The sequence below is a fragment of the Homo sapiens genome, chromosome X (assembly GCF_000001405.40).
Source record: "Homo sapiens chromosome X, GRCh38.p14 Primary Assembly".
NCBI classification, from domain to species: Eukaryota; Metazoa; Chordata; class Mammalia; order Primates; family Hominidae; genus Homo; species Homo sapiens.
In genome coordinates, this window is record NC_000023.11 from 53,498,005 (window position 1) to 53,515,662 (window position 17,658).

A 17,658-nucleotide genomic window follows, 5' to 3' on the forward strand; every position below is an offset into this window, starting at 1 on the left:
TGGCTTCCGGTTTCTGACAAGAGGGTTTATAATTTATTTTATAGTCCATTGTATCATTAAATGCTATGCTAAGACAGTGCACAGGAGCACTAATGTGTTCATGCCCCTGAAATCCTCGACGGGGCACTTGTAGATACTTACAGGTTACTGCCAGGCAGTTTCATTCCTCTAATCCTGAATCTCACTCCGACTATGCCCCTTGCCAGGAAAGAAAAAAGCTGGAGTGGTCTTTGCCCGATTCCCACCATATTAACTCTCACCTCAGGACTGAGGGATAATCAAGTTCAGGGGAGCTGAAACTATCCCATAAACTTAAAAAAGAAAATTAATCAGGGAAGAAGGGAAGGGGAGAAACAAAAATAAACCAAGCTTGCAGGACATTCAGCATTCACCAAGAGGTCAGCTTGCTCCCTGACCTGCTTCCTCAGAGTTGTTTGCTGCCCATTTTCCCAGAATCACATAACCCCTAGTTTATCCTGCCCTTAACTACTCTATAGATAACAACTTGAACATTATAAAACATTGTTTTCCCTTTGAAATATTGTTTTAGATCCTGCATGCCAGTAAAACTACTGATGTCAGCTGGTCTGAAAGACTCATAAGAAGGTCACTCACTGGCTGGGCTTGGTGGCTCACACCTGCAATCCTAGCACTTTGGGAGGCCGAGGCGAGTGGATCGCTTGAACCCAGGAGTTCAAGTCCAGCCTGGCCAGCGTGGTGAAATCCCATCTCTACAAAAAATACAAAAATTAGCCGGGCACTGTGGCATGCACCTGTAGTCCCAGCTAGTCAGGAGGCTGAGGTAGGAGGATTGCTTGAGCCCAGGAGGTCAAGGCTGCAGTGAGCCAAGATCCTGCCACTGCACTCCAGCCTGGGCGATAGAGTGAGACCCTCTCTCAAAAAGAAAAAGATGGGCCAGGCGCAGTGGCATGATCTCAGCTCACTGCAACCTCTGCCTCCTGAGTTCAAGTGATTCTCGTGCCTCAGCCTCCCAAGTAGCTGGGATTACAGGCGTGAATGCCCTGTAATATGTCATTGTCAGTGCCCTGCAGCCAAAGACTGGGAATATGAACATGCCCTTAGTTGAACAAGTTGGGTTTATTACTTTTTGCAGCAGAGGAGAATGCACACCATAGAGAACTACGGGGCATCTCGGGAAGAGAGTGTCAGAACAGATGTGTTATGGGATTTGGGCTTGTGTTAGATGTTTTGGGGGAGGGCTTAAGGAAGTGAGGTTTTACGTTAAGTTGAATGCTATCCAGAAGTGGAAGTAATTCTATGATTGGGTATATGAATAAATCTTATCTAGAAGGAGGGAGGACTAGAGAGAGGCTAAAGCTGTACAGGTGCTCCTCAGTTTCCAAGGCTATTATATCCTGATAAACCCATCATAAATTGAAAATAAAATAAAACAGAGCCACACATCCCAGTTTATGTGGTTTGTTCACACCTATTGCCCAGCATAATTATTATTTAAAAAAATTTTTTTTGAGATGGAGTCTCGCTCTATCACCCAGTGGTATGATCTCGGCTCACTGCAACCTCCGCCTCCCAGGTTCAAGCAATTCTCCGGCCTCAGCCTCCTGAGTAGCTGGGACTACAGGTGCGTGCCACCACGCCCGGCTAGTTTTTTGTATTTTTAGTAGAGATGGGGTTTCACCATATGAGCCAGGATGGTCTCCGTCTGCTGACGTGGTGATCCGCCCGCCTTGGCCTCCCAAAGTGCTGGGATTACAGGCGTGAACCACCACGCCCGGCCCAAAAAAAATTTTTTTAGAGACAGGGTCTTGCTCTGTCTCCCAGGCTGGAGTGCAGTGGTGTGATCAGAGCTTACTACAGCCTTGAACTCCTGCCTCAGCCTCCCAAGTAGCTGGGACTACAGGTGTGTATCACCATGCCCAGCTAATTTTTAAAATTTTTGTTTAAAATAAAACACAGGGTCTCACTATGTTGGCCAGGTTGGTCTTGAACTCCTGGCCTCAAGTGATCCTCCCTACCTTGGCCTCCCAAAGTGCTGGGATTACAGGTGTGAGCCACCTCACCAGGCCTCTAGTATAATTATTAATAGTACTCCTTTTATTCTTAAATTTGTCTAACTTTAGATTATAATTTATATGGTCACATTAATTATAAGAGAAAGAGACTCTTTTAATAAGGAGATAATCAATGGTAATCATAATGCACAAACAGATCAGTGGAGGGAATTCTTAGAGGATAAAAAAAGACATGTTTAATCCTATTGGGCAAGCAGCCATTAATTAGCCTTCATGCAGAATTAGGTCTGTTACTGGCCTAGTGGCAGAAATGAAATTGCTCTATACATTATGATCCTAAAAGAAGGCCAGGCACATGGGAGGCAGAGGTTGTGGTGAGCTGAGATCGCGCCACTGCACTCCAGCCTGGGTAACAGAGTGAGACTCAGTCTCAAAAAAAAAAAAAAAAAAAAAGGCCGGGCACAGTGGCTTACGCCTGTAATCCCAGCACTTTGGGAGGCTGAGGCAGAAGGCTCACAATCACTTTAGCCCAGGAGTTTAAGACCAGCCTGGGCAACATATTGAGACCTTGTCTCTACAGAAAATAAGAAAAAAACTAGTTGGGGCCGGTGCAGTGGCTCACGCCTGTAATCCTAGCACTTTGGGAGGCCGATGCAGGTGGATCACCTGAGGTCAGGAGTTCAAGACCAGCCTGGCCAACATTGTGAAACCCCGTCTCCACTAAAAGTACAAAAATTATCTGGGTGTGGTGGTACATGCCTGTAGTCCCAGCTACTTGAGAAGCTGAAGCAGGAGAATCGCTTGAACCTGGGAGATGGAGGTTGCAGTGAGCCGAGATCGCACCACTGCACTCCAGCCTGGGTGACAGAGTGAGACTCCGTCTAGAAAAAAAAAAATTGTTGGGCATCGTGGCGCATGCCTGTAGTCCCAGCTACTTGAGAGGCTGAGGTGGGAGGATCGCTTAGTCAAGGCTGCAGTGAGCTGAGATCATGCCACTGCACTTCAGCCTGGGTGAAAGAGAGAGACCCTGTCTCAAAAAACAACAACGACAACAACAAAAAACACTAATAAAAGAGTAAAATTGGTTTTCTCTTCACGTGGTATTAATAATAGATAAAATATTTTGTTCACCTTTTGTGTAAACTGCAAAAAAAAAAGTGGAGAGAGAAACAGATTCTGTGTGTGTTGTGCTGTCTTTATTAGGTATATTTATATGAATATGTTATTAATATGTGTTCCAGAATTGTATGGGATTCCTAAAAATTGATATGTCTTGATATATGTTATCTGTCATAACTATGATTATTATGTTAAATTGTTGTAAGCCCATAGAACATAACCAAATGTATTTGTCAAGTGTGTCTTTAACCATACCTTTAAAAATTTTATTGTCCATAGTTAATAGCTTTATTCTGATACTTCTAAAAGTATACTTTATAAGCAAGTATAATGTTAAAGTTTTGTGTCTTCATGGAGGTTCATGAAAAGGATAAAAAGAATCTGATGAGTATTCTGAAATAAAGACACTGAAATATAGACCTCTGGTGATGACTTTCATATTATTCAATAGTACTGGATAAGAATTTCAAAAACTCCAGTGGAAAAAACTGGACTCATAAAACTGCTAATGCAGCAACAAGCACAATAAGAATTAATGACATGGGACTTAACTGATGGTGCATTTTTTTTTTTTTTGAGATGGAGTCTCACTCTGTCGCCCAGGCTGGAGTGCAGTGGCGCGATCTTGGCTCACTGCAAGCTCCGCCTCCAGGGTTCACGCCATTCTCCTGCCTCAGCCTCCCCAGTAGCTGGAACTACAGGGGCCTGCCACCATGCCCAGCTAATTTTTTTTTTTTAATAGAGACGGGGTTTCACTGTGTTAGCCAGGATGGTCTCAATCTCCTGACCTGTTTTTTTTTTTTTTTTGAGATGGAATCTCACTCTTGTCACCCAGGCTGGAGTGTGGTGGTGTGATCTCGGCTCACTGCAACCTCCGCCTCCCAGGTTCAAGAGATTATCCTGCCTCAGCCTCCCGAGTAGCTGGGATTACAGGTGCTCGCCACCATGCTTGGCTAGTTTTTTGTATTTTTAGTAGAGACAGGGTTTCACCATGTTGGCCAGGCTGGTCTTGAACTCCTGACCTCAAGAGATCTGCCTGCCTTGGCCTCCCAAACTGTTGGGATTACAGGTGTGAGCCACCGTGCCCAGCCTAGTTTTTTTATTGACTTCTTTTTGTTTGAAACATTGCTGATTCTTTTTATGTTTTGTTTTCCAGATTCAAGACAACTTTTTTCCTTCTAAGCTATCTATATAGCTTTACAGCAATTTGGTAAAGTATACTTTTGTCAACAAAATTGAAACATTAACCTTTCTCTCTACCTGACCTCTTCAGAATTTGGAAACTATTTGTGAGTATGCTTATTGTATGGCAATGTTACCGGAAACGGGTCTTGATCCATACCCCAAGAGAGGGTTCTTGGATCTCACACAAGAAAGAATTTGGAGTGAGTCGGCCAGGTGCAGTAGCTCACACCTGTAATCCCAGCACTTTGGGAGGCCGAGGTGGGTGGATCACGAGATCAGGAGATCGAGACCGTCCTGGCTAACATGGTGAAACCCCATCTGTACTAAAAATACAAAAAATTAGCCAGGCGTGGTGGCGGGCGCCTGTAGTCCCAGCTACTTGGGAGGCTGAGGCAGGAGAATGGCCTCACAGAGTGAGACTCCATCTCAAAAAAAAAAAAAAAAAGAATTTGGAGTGAGTCCATAGAGTAAAGTGAAAGCAGGTTTATTAAAGTAGAGAAACAAAACAATGGCTACTCCAGACAGAGCAGTGGCATGGGCTGCTCGACTGAGTATACTTACGGTTATTTCTCGATTATATATGCTAAACAAGGGGTGGATTATTCATGAGTTTTCTGGGAAAGGGGCAGGGATTTCCCCTGTAACTGAGGGTTCCTTCCCCTTTTAGACCATATAGGGTAATTTCTAGACATTACTATGGCATTTGTAAACTATCCCGGTGTCCCGGTGGGAGTGTCTTTTAGCATGCTAATGTATTATAAATAACATATAAACAGTGAGGATGACCAGAGTTCGCTTTTGTCGCCATCTTGGATTTGGCAGGGTTTGGCCAGCTTCTTTACTGCATCCTGTTTTATCAGCAGGGTCTTTATGATCTGTATCTTGTGATACCAATCCTGCCGACCTCCTATCTCATCCTGTGACTAAGAATGCCTAACCTCCTGGGAATACAGCCCAGTAAGTCTCAGCCTTATTTTATGCAGCCCCTATGCAAGAGGGAGTCACTCTTGTTCCAAGGCCTCTGAAGGCAATGTAGCTATTTGCGTACATTCAATAAGAATCTGTTTTCTCCCCTCTCCCCTCTCCCCTCTCCCCTCTCCCCTCTCCCCACGGTCTCCCTCTCCCTCTCTTTCCACGGTCTCCCTCTGATGCTGAGCCAAAGCTGGACTGTACTGCCACCATCTCGGCTCACTGCAACCTCCCTGCCTGATTCTCCTGCCTCAGCCTGCCGAGTGCCTGCGATTGCAGGTGCGCGCTGTCACGCCTGACTGGTTTTCGTATTTTTTTGGTGGAGACGGGGTTTCGCTGTGTTGGCCAGGCTGGTCTCCAGCTCCTAACCGGGAGTGATCTGCCAACCTCGGCCTCCCGAGGTGCCAGGATTGCAGATGGAGTCTCGTTCACTCAGTGCTCGACGTTGCCCAGGCTGGAGTGCAGTGGCGTGATCTCCGCTCGCTACAACCTCCACCTCCCAGCCGCCTGCCTTGGCCTCCCAAAGTGCCGAGATTGCAGCCTCTGCCCGGCCGCCACCCCGTCTGGGAAGTGAGGAGCGTCTCTGCCTGGCCACCCATCGTCTGGGATGTGAGGAGCCCCTCTGCCCGGCTGCCCAGTCTGGGAAGTGAGGAGCGCCTCTTCCCGGCCGCCATCCCGTCTAGGAAGTGAGGAGCGCCTCTGCCCGGCCGCCATCCTGTCTAGGAAGTGAGGAGCGCCTCTGCCCGGCCGCCCATCGTCTGAGATGTGGGGAGCGCCTCTGCCCTGCCACCCAATCTGGGATGTGAGGAGTGCCTCTGCCCGGCCGCGACCCCGTCTGAGAGGTGATGAGCGTCTCTGCCCGGCCGCCCCATCTGAGAAGTGAAGAGCCCCTCCGCCCGGCAGCCGCCCCGTCTGAGAAGTGAGGAGCCCCTCTGCCCGGCAGCCGCCCCGTCTGGGAAGTGAGGAGTGTCTCCATCCGGCAGCCACCCCGTCTGGGAGGGAGGTGGGGGGTCAGCCCCTGCCCGGCCAGCCGCCCCGTCCGGGAGGGAGGTGGGGGGCGCCTCCGCCCGGCCACTGCCCCGTCCGGGAGGTGGGGGGCGCCTCTGCCCAGCCGCCCCTTCTGGGAAGTGAGGAGCCCCTCTGCCCAGCCAGCCACCTCATCCGGGAGGGAGGTGGGGGGGTCAGCCCCCCGCCCGGCCAGCCGCCCCGTCCGGGAGGTGGGGGGCGCCTCTGCCCGGCCGCCCCTTCTGGGAAGTGAGGAGCCCCTCTGCCCGGCCGCCACCCCGTCTGGGAGGTGTACCCAACAGCTCATTGAAAACGGGCCATGATGACGATGGCGGTTGTGTCGAATAGAAAAGGGGGAAATGTGGGGAAAAGACAGAGAAATCAGATTGTTGCTGTGTCTGTGTAGAAAGAAGTAGACATAGGAGACTCCATTTTGTTCTGTACTAAGAAAAATTCTTCCGCCTTGGGATGCTGTTGATCTATGACCTTACCCCCAACCCCGTGCTCTCTGAAACATGTGCTGTGTCCACTCAGGGTTAAATGGATTAAGGGCGGTGCAAGATGTGCTTTGTTAAACAGATGCTTGAAGGCAGCATGCTCGTTAAGAGTCATCACCACTCCCTAATCTCAAGTACCCAGGGACACAAACACTGCGGAAGGCCCCAGGGTCCTCTGCCTAGGAAAACCAGAGACCTTTGTTCACTTGTTTATCTGCTGACCTTCCCTCCACTATTGTCCTATGACCCTGCCAAATCCCCCTCTGTGAGAAACACCCAAGAATGATCAATTAAAAAAAAAAAAAGAATCTGTTTTCTTTTGTAACAGTACACAATTGGAAATGCTGGTTATTTTACCAAGGCTTTGACTGAAATGTCATATTTTCAGATATGACCAGACTCTGATTTGAGGGATTGAAGTGTTTTGTTTTGTTTTTTGAGACGGAGTTTTGCTCTTGTTGCTCAGGCTGGAGTGCAATGGAGGTGATCTTGGCTCACTGCAACCCCCACCTCCTGGGTTCAAGCGATTCTCCTGCCTCAGCCTCCCAAGTAGCTGGGATTACAGGCATGCGCCACCACACCCAGCTAATTTTTGTATTTTTAGTAGAGACAGGGTTTCACCACATTGGCCAGGCTGGTCTCGAACTCCTAACCTCAGGTGATCCGCCCGCCTCAGCCTCCCAAAGTGCTGGGATTATAGACACTGCGCCCGGCCTGTTTTCTTTTTCTTTTTCTTTTTTTTTTGGGATGGAGTCTTGGTCTGTTGCCCAGGCTGGAGTGCAGTGGTGCGATCTTGGCTCATTGCAAGCTCTGCCTCCTGGGTTCACGCCATTCTCCTGCCTTAGCCTCCAGAGTAGCTGGGACTGCCTGCCACCATGCCAGGCTAATTTTTTTTGTATTTTTAGTAGAGACAGGGTTTCACCATGTTAACCAGGATGGTCTTGATCTCCTGACCTCATGATCCGCCTGCCTTGGCCTCCCAAAGTGCTGGGATTACAGGCGTGAGCCACCGTGCCTGGCCGTTTGTTTGTTTGTTTGTTTGTTTTTTAATAGAGCTAATGAAAAGCCCCTTGGAAAAACTGGCCTGGTACCTTGTCTACATGGTTCCCTTACAGGGTTCCCAGGGTTCCCAACCTTGTGGAAAGTAAAGAATGTCACTTTGTGACAGGCCCAAAAGCTCAAGGTATTTTGGGGACCTGAAGAAGAGAGTAATTCACCCAATTCATGCACATATTACAAACAGTCTGAGGGCAAGTCAAATCCTTGGCTTGGCTCCTTAGCCTCAAGAGGTTTTTTTAAAAAAAGGAATCTGATTCCTTGTGAAAAAGTTCCAGCAAAGCCAACTTTAAAAGAGCCCATTTAATAAATCCCTATTCTTGCCAGGCAAGGTAGCTCTCACCTGTAATCCCAGCATTTTGGGGGGCCGAGGCAGGTGGATCACCTGCGGTCTGGAGTTCGAGACCAGCCTGGCCAACATGGCGAAATCCCATCTCTACTAAAAATACAAAAATTGGCTGGGTGTGGTGGTGTGTGCCTGTAGTCCCAGCTACTTGGGAGGCTGAGGCAGGAGAATCGCTTGAAACCAGGAGGCAGAGGTTGCAGCGAGCCGAGATCGTGCCACTGCACTCCAGCCTGGACAGCAGAGTAAGACTCCATCCCAAAACACACAAAAAAAGCAAAAAAAAAAAAAAAAATCCCTATTCTTAATTCACTTTATGTATAATCAGGCCAAGTTAATGAAACTAAAGTTATTTTACAAATTAATTTTATGGGCATGGTGGCTCATACTTGTAATCCCAGCACTTTGGGAGGCTGAGGTGGGTGGATCACCTGAGTTCAGGAGTTCCAGATCAGCCTGGCCAACATGGTGAAACCCCGTCTCTACAAAAAATACAAAAATTAGCTGAGCATGGTGGTGGGCACCTGTAATCCCAGGTCCTCAGGAGCCTGAGGCACAAGAATCGCTTGAACCCAGTAGGCATAGGCTGCAGTGAGCTGAGATTGTGCCACTGCACTCCAGCCTGGACGACAGAGAAAAACTCTGTCTCAAAACAAAAAACAAAAAACAAAAAACAGGCTGAGTGCAGTGGCTCATGCCTGTAATTCCAGCACTTTGAGAGGCCGAGGTGGGCAGATCACCAGAGGCTAGGAGTTCGAGACCAGCCTGGTCAACATGGCTAAATTCTGTCTCTACTAAAAATATAAAAGTTAGCCTGGCATGGTGGCACACACCTGTAATCCCAGCTACTCGGGAGGCTGAGGTGGGAGAATTGCTTGAACCCAGGAGTCAGATGCTGCAGTGTGCTGAGATTGTGCCACTGTGCTACAGCCTGGGAGACAGAGCAAGACCTCGACTCAAAAAAAAAAAAAAATTAAAAACAACAGCAACGAAAAAAAAACCCAAATTAATCTTACCACGATTATCTTTGGTAAAAAATGGATGAAGGGGACTGGAGAGAGAAAAATTATATTTCAGAAGAAAACTATAGTGTAACTGTTTCTAGTTAGAACTGTTTTTAGTTACTGTTTCTAGTGAACAAGATTCTAGCCTTGCTCATTGGTTTTTTTTTTTTTTTTTGGTTTTTAAAAATTATTTGGACTGAATCTAAAAATTTTAGTTTCTTCCAATGTCTGGCTGTGACTCTCTAGATGAATGTTTTTAATTTTTCTCCCACCCTTCTGACTTGGAATTGTGGGGGCTAAGGCTCTTGGCCCCCTAAAGGTTTGCTGAAAACCACTGACATAAGGCAGTTGATTAACAGGAAAAAAGGCATATACATTTATTTAATGTGCATACACAGGAGCCTTCCGAATGAAGACCCAACCTCCCCATGAGGTTCAGAAGCTCATATACCATCATGAGGTTATAGACAATGGTGGCTTGGATCCTAGTAAAACAGGTTATGGGAGGAGGGAGAAGAGGAATTCTATTGAGGAGCAGAAAATGATTACTAGGGAGAATGATTGGATCTTGGATCAGGGGACAGAAATTAACTTGTAAATAGTTCTTTTCGGAATTTAAATGATCCTCGGAGACAATTATTTTCTTTCTTCAGTCCTTCCTTCCTTCTTTCCTTCCTTCCTTCCTTCCTTCCTTCCTTCCTTCCTTCCTTCCTTCCTTCCTTCTTCCTCTCTCTCTCTTTCTCTTTTCGTTTCATTTCATTTCATTTCTTTCTTTTCTTTTCTTTTTTGAGACAGGGTCTGGCTCTGTTGCCCAGGCTGGAGTACAGTGGCACAATTACGGCTCATGGCAACCTCAACCTCCCGGGGTCAAGTAATTCTCCCACCTCAGCAGAATAGCTAGGACTACAGGCACGCACCACCATACCTGACTAATTTTTAAAAATCTTCTGTAAAGATGGAGTTTAGCCATGTTGGCCAGGCTGGCCTCGAGCTCCTGGGCTCAAAAAATCCACCCACCGCAGGGCGCGGTGGCTCATGCCTGTAATCCCAGCACTTTGGGAGGCCAAGGCGGGTGGATCACGAGGTCAGGAGATCGAGACCATCCTGGCTGACACGGTGAAACCCCGTCTCTACTAAAAATACAAAAAATTAGCCGGGCATAATGGCGGGTGCCTGTAGTCCCAGCTACTCAGGAGGCTGAGGCAGGAGAATGGCATGAACCCAGGAGGCGGAGCTTGCAGTGAGTGGAGATCGCGCCACTGCACTCCAGCCTGGGCGACAGAGCGAGACTCCGTCTCAAAAAAAAAAAAAAAAAAAAATCCACCCGCCTCAGCCTCCCAAAGTGTTGGGGATTACAGGCGTTGAGTCACCACGCTGGCCAACAGTCATTATCTTAAAAAAGGGTCTGTTCAGGTGTGGTTCATCTTGGTCTTCTTTTCTGCAAAAGGTGATGAGAGAACAGGGAGGAGAAGAAAAAACAATGGTTCTCCTTGGTGGGTCTGGATCTTAGGCAGATAAAGGACTTCAACTTATATGGGAGAAACAGTGGGGGATTTGTGGGGAGGTCAGAGAAACCTTGAGGTTTCTCCAGTTCAGCATGTTAAAATGCCATATTTTGGGGTATCAGTTTCTGAGCCCCAACGTTATCACTACAAATTAAAACTACCTTTTCCCTAAGGCCCTACAAGCAGGAGCTAGTCAACTTGGCTTTGAAGAAACATCACTCCAACAGCTTATATTTGGACAAATGTTGTATGCACAAACCAGAAAACCTGTCAGATTGCCACTAATTTTCACAATTGACTTCCTCCAGACTCTAGAAATACTAGTTTATAGAGTACTCCAGACATTAACCCTTGTTTTTCTTCTGTTTTCATAGAAATTCCTCTTAAAGGCCGGGCGCTGTGGCTCATGCCTGTAATCCCAGCACTTTGGGAGGCCGACATGGGGTGGATTATCTGAGGTCAGGAGTTCGAGACCAGCCTGACCAACATGGTGAAACCCCGTCTCTACTAAAAAAATACAAAATTAGCCGGGTGTGGTGGCACATGCCTGTAATCCGAGCTACTTGGGAGGCTGAGGCAGAAGAATCGCTTGAACCCAGGAGGCAGAGGTTGCAGCGAGCTGAGATCGCACCATTGCACTCCAGCCTGGGCAACAAGAGTGAAACTCCATCTCAAAAAAAAAAAAAAAAAGAAATTCCTCTTAAGATCTATTTGCCTGCCTCATATATAAAGACCTAGCTTTGAGAGCGCATCTGCAACACCATCTCCTGAAATGAGACACAACTATTTAACTGAACAGGCTGGGCACAGTGGCTCACATCTGTAATCCCAGCACTTTGGGAGGCCGAGGCAGGAGGATTGCTTGAGGCCAGGAGTTTGAAACCAGCATAGGCAACACAGTGAGACTCCATCTCTACAAAAAATAAAAAATAAATTAGCATGGCATGGTGGCACATGCCTGTAGTCCTAGCTACATGGGAGGCTGAGGCAGGAGGATCCCTTGAATTCAGGAGTTTGAGGCTGCAGTGAGCTATGATCATGCCACTGTACTCCAGCCTAGGTGACAGAGCAAGACTCTATCCCTACAACAACCAACCAACCAACCAACCAACCCTGAATCAAGCTATTCTCAGGACTAAAAGCATGATTCAAGAAGATATGGGGCTGGCTGTGGTGGTTCACGCCTGTAATCCCAGCGTTTTGGGAGGCCTGAGGTGGTAGGATCACTTGAGACCAGGAGTTCGAGACCAGCCTTGGCAGCATAGTGAGACCTTGTCTCTACAAAAAAATTTTTTTAACATAAAAAATAATAATAAAAAAGAAGATACAGAACAGCACACTCAATTTTTTTTCCTACTTGTTCAAATCTATGTTTTCTCCCCCTGTGCTTATTTCTTATCTCAGAATGTCTAACCCAAATCTCTCCATAGCTACCAATTCTACTTTAATATGTGAAACTTTCCAAAAATAAAGTTTCAAATGGGGGACTAAAAAAAACCAAAAATATTGCACCCCAAAATATACTTCTTTGACATATTTTGAGATGGCTATTCAGAGGGCCTGCAGACAGGAATAGCCCTGCAAACTGCCTTTTGTGGAGGACATTTGCATCTGTAGACAAAATCTGCATTGATGAAATAAAGAGCCGGGCTTTCTCCACCCCCACCCTCTTGTCCGGATCTAGCAAGGATTGGCTTGTGGGAGAGAGAGACTGAGAGTCTGACACCTATGGGGGTCTGACAGAAACGTATTCTGAAAGCTGCTACCAGTGATGTTTCTTTCTTTTTTCTTTTTCTTTCTTTTTTTTTTTTTTTGAGATGGGGTTTCGCTCTTGTTGCCCAGGCTGAAGTGCAATGGCGTGATCTCGGCTCACTGCAGCCTCTGCCTCTTGGGTTCAAGCAATTCTCCTGCCTCAGCCTCCTCAGTAGCTGGGGTTACAGGCACCCACCACCACACACGGCTAATTTTTTTGTATTTTTAGTAGAGATGAGGTTTCACCATATTGGCCAGGCTGGTCTCGAAATCCTGACCTCAGATGATCTACCCACTTTGGCCTCTCGAAGTGTTAGGATTACAGGCATGAACCACCGCTCCCAGCCCAGTGAGGTTTCTTCTGCATAACAAGACCACCTTTGCTACTCAGGTCTTTCCTCTCCTCTCCCTCCCATAACCAGTCTTGCTTTGTTCCCCTATTATTTCTGTAACCTCAGGATGGTATAAAACTTCAATCTTCTGGTTCTTTCTTTGAGTTTTCTTATTTCATATGACTTCCATTGTATTAGTTTGTTCTCACACTGCTATAAAGAACTACTGGAGATTGGGTAATTTATAAAGAAAAGAGGGTTTTTTGTTTGTTTTGTTTATTTATTTATTTTGAGACGAAGTCTTGCTCTTGTCATCAGGCTGGAGTGCAATGGCACGATCTCGGCTTACTGCAACCTCCGCCTCCCAGGTTGAAGCGACTCTCCCACCTCAGCCTCCCGGGTGGCTGGGATTACAGGCACCTGCACCACACCTGGCCAATTTTTGTACTTTTAGTAGAGATGGGGTTTCATCATGTTGGCCAGGCTGATCTCAAACTCCTGACCTCCAGTGATCCACCCACCTCGGCCTCCCAAAGTGCTGGGATTACAGGCGTGGGCCACCGCACTTGGCCAAAAAGAGGTTTAATGGACTCACAGTTCTGCATGGCTGGGGAAGCCTCAGGAAACTTACAAAGATGGCGGAAGGTGAAGGGTAGGCAAGCACTTCTTACCATGGTGAAGCAGGACAGAGAGAGAAAGAGCAAAGGGGGAAGTGCCATACTCAGATCTTGTGAGAGCTCACTCACTAGCAAGGGGGAAGTCTGCCCCCATGATCCAATCACCTCCCACCAGGCCCCTCCCCTGACTCATGGGGATTACAATTCAACATGAGGTTTGGGTGGGGACACAGAACCAAACCATATCACCCATGCACATGTGTACACATTAATACATTTTGTATGCCTTTTCTCTTATTAATCTGCCTCTTGCCAGTTGATTTTCAGTGAATCTTCAGAGAGTGAAGGGGAAGTTTTCCCTCAGTCCCTACAAGGAGTTAATCATACTTTTTTTTGTCAGTGGTTAAAATGCTTTTGTGAAAAAGAAAAATGCTTTCCTCATCTGTAGTATAGGACTGTCAGAAGACAAATTACAACAAATGTAGTTTAAAGATCTCAGTTGTCTTTATTCACGATTCTAGAACCAGGCCACATATCATTCCATAAAACTGAATAAGTGTTCCAATGAGCTAAGCAGAAGAGGTTGGCTTCATAGAGAGAGACTGAAGAAAGTGGAAGCAAAGAATGAAGAGCATATTAGTCTTTCCAAAGCTGCTTTTTTGTAAAGGGGAGACAGGGAGACAAAGCAAAGTAAGGCTGATTAAAGCTGACTCTTAAACAACATAGATTTGAACTGTGTGGGTCCACTCATATGCAGATCTTTTTCAAAAAATATATAATAAACATTTTTGGATACTTGTGACAATTAAAAAAAAAAGCAGGCTGGGTGTGGTGGCTCATGCCTGTAATACCACCAGCACTTTGAGAGGCCAAGGTGGGCAGATCATTTGAGGTTGAGAGTTCAAGACCAACTGGTGAAACCGTGTCTCTACTAAAAATATACAAAAATTAGCTGAGCATGGTGGCACATGCCTGTAATCCCAGCTACTTGGGAGGCTGAAGCAGGAGAATCGCTTGAACCCAGGAGGTGGAGGTTGCAATGAGCCGAGATTGTGCTATTGCACTCCAGCCTGGGTGACAGAGGGAGACTCTGTCTTAAAACAAAACAAAACAAAACACAGACCAGGCACAGTGGCTCACGCCTGTAATCCCAGCACTTTGGGAGGCTGAGGTGGGCAGATCACGAGGTCAGGAGATCGAGACCATCCTGGCTAACATGGTGAAACCCCATCTCTACTAAAAATACAAAAAAAAAATTAGCTGGGCATGGTGGCGGGCACCTGCAGTCCCAGTAAGGGAGGAGACAACCTCTCATATTGTCTTATGCCCAATTTCTGCTTCCAAAGAAAGAAGAAGTAAAAACTAAAAGGCAGAAATGAAATCCACAGGCAGACAGCCCAGTGCCACACTCTGGGCCTGGTAGTTAAAGATCAACCCCTGACCTAATCAGTTATGTTATCTATAGATTCCAGACATTGTATGGAAAAGCACTGTGAAAATCCCTGTCCTGTTCTGTTCCGTTCTAATTACTGGTGCATGCAGCCCCCAGTCACATACCCCCTGCTTGCTCAATTGATCACGACCCTCTCACATGGACTCCCTTAGAGTTGTAAGCCCTTAAGAGGGACAGGAATTGCTCACTCGGGGAACTCAGTTGTTGGAGATGTGTGTCTTGCCAAAGCTCCTGGCCAAATAAAGCCCTTCCTTCTTTAACTCGGTGTCTGAGGGGTTTTGTCTGTGGCTTGTCCTGCTACATTTCTTGGTTCCCTGACTAGGAAGCGAGGTGATTAATGTACGGTTGAGGCAGTCCCTTAGGTGGCTTAGGCCTGCCCTGTGGGGGACTCTGGCCAGCTTGAGCAACGCGGATCCTGAGAGCGCTCCCAGGTAGGCAATTGCCCTAGTGGAACGCTTTGCCAGAGCAGCACGTGGCAGGCCCCTGTGGAGGATCAACGCAGTGGCTGAACACTGGGAAGGAACAGGCACTTGGAGTCCGGACATCTGAAACTTGGTAAGACTAGTCTTTGGAACTTGCCCACTCCATTTGAGTGGAAGCGTGGCCTGAGCACCCATGGTATGCCTGTACTGGCACTTTGGTTTTTGTTTTTGACTTGACTTGGATTGCTTGATACTTTGGTTTTGGTTTTGACCTGGCTTGGATTTCTGGATACTCTGATTTTGGTTTTGATTTTGGTTTGGTGTAAACTGTAAAAGTGTGTGTGTGCCCTTTTTACCTGTTCCTTGTTCTGTGGTGTGCATGTGGTGTGAGCATGGTGTTTTGTCTCAAAGGAGCATGAGTCAGGCACAAAGTAAGCCCACCCCACTAGGAACTATGTTGAAAAATTTCAAGAAAGGATTTAAGGGAGACTATGGAGTACTATGACACCAGGAAAGCTTAAAACTTTGTGTAAGATAGACTGGCCAGCATTAGAGGTGGGTTGGCCATCAGAAGGAAGCCTGGACAGGTCCCTTGTTTCAAAGGTATGGCACAACGTAACCTGTAAGCCAGGGCACCCAGACCAGTTCCCGTACATAGACACTTGGTTACAGCTGGTTTTAGACGCCACCCCCCACCCCTCCCACCACAGTGGTTGAGAAAACAGCAGCATAAGTGGCTGGCAGAGGCAAGGAAAGACCAGCAGAGAGAGAGAAAGGAAAGAGACAGAGAGGAAAAGAGGCAAAGAGAGAGAGGAAGAGACAGATAGGAAGAGACAGACAAAGAGGGAGTCAAGGAAAGAGAAAGAGGGAGGCAGAGAGAAAGAGACAGAAGCAAAAGGAAAGTCAAAGAGAAAAAGAGACAAAATCAGAGAAAGAAAGAGATATACAAGTAGTTAAGGAAAAAAAAAAAAACAGTGTACCCTATTCCTTTAAAAGCCAAGGTAAATCTAAAACTTATAATTGATAATTGAAGGTATTCCATGTAACCCTGTAACACTCCAATACCACTTCATTGTCAGTGTGAACAAGGGCGTATCCCAAAAGCACTGAGGCCTTCCTATCAAAAATCCTTAACCCAGTAACCCGTGGATGGCCCAAATGCATTCAATCTGTAGTGGCAACTGCTTTGCTAACAGAAAAAAGTAAAAAAAATAACTTTTAGAGGAAACCTCATTGTGAGCACACCTCACCAGTTCAGAAGTATCTTAAGGAAAAAAAAAAAAGGATGATTTAACAATAACCACTGATAATTCCCTTAACCCAGCAGGTTTCCTAACAGGGGATCTAAATCTTAATTACCATACAAAGGTCCGACCAGACCTAGGAGGAACTCCCTTCAGGACAGGACGATAGATGGTTCCTCCCAGGTAATTAAAGAAAAAAAAAAGCCATCTATACCAATTCTAAGTTAATTTGGACTAAACAAGGTCTTATTAATAGCAAAAGATAATTTAAATCCCAAATTTACAAGGTTTTCAACAAAAGTAAAGTTTGCTAAAAGTTAACAGTGTAACATGTATTATAGTAACTTCTAATCTTGTGGCCTTAGACAGTCTAGTCCACAGACATAAAGGAAGTTCGCTTTGGAAAAGAATAGTAATCATCTTCAAAAAAAAGGGAAAAAAAGGGGGGGCAGAATTTATGTAAAAAGAGTGTTATATGGTAAATTCTTGTCCTGAAATAAATTAACTGGTTGTTTAAAGAAAGAAATGTTTGTAATAAGTCAGAAAGTTGAGGCATGTCAAAGAATTGTCTGCAAAAGTCGTGAAAGATAAAAATGTTATAAAAAAAGAATTTATGAAAGAAATGTTGTATAATTTAAAAGTAACTAGGCCTCTTGAATGTAAAACTATTGAAAAAAAACAGTTTATGTGCAAGGTATATAAGGAAAGTAAAATATACCTTTGGTAAAAGGATTATAAGGAGGCATAAGAATGTAAACTTTACCTACATTAAAAGGTTAAAAAAATGATTGTTTTGAAGGTTTAAGCAAATTTTAAAATGTTAATTGTAAAGGAAATTCTGTGTGTAAACATATTAGTTAAAGTTAAAGGGGTATCATCCAGTTTTTCTGTGAACTGGACGTTAAAGTAAAAACACAATGAGTTTTTCTTAAAGCACCAACCTACTCTTTAACAAAAATTATAAAAGGTTAAAAAGAGTCTATAAAAATCTTACCTTATGGTCCAACATTAAAAATTGAATAAATATGTATACAAAGTTTTATTAAAACTAAGTTTAACATTAATAACACACTAATATAAAGGTGAAGTTTAGCTTATCTGGTATAAAAATCATACAGGAAGCATTGTCAAATATAAAATGTTGTTTGGCTTCTTTAGTCC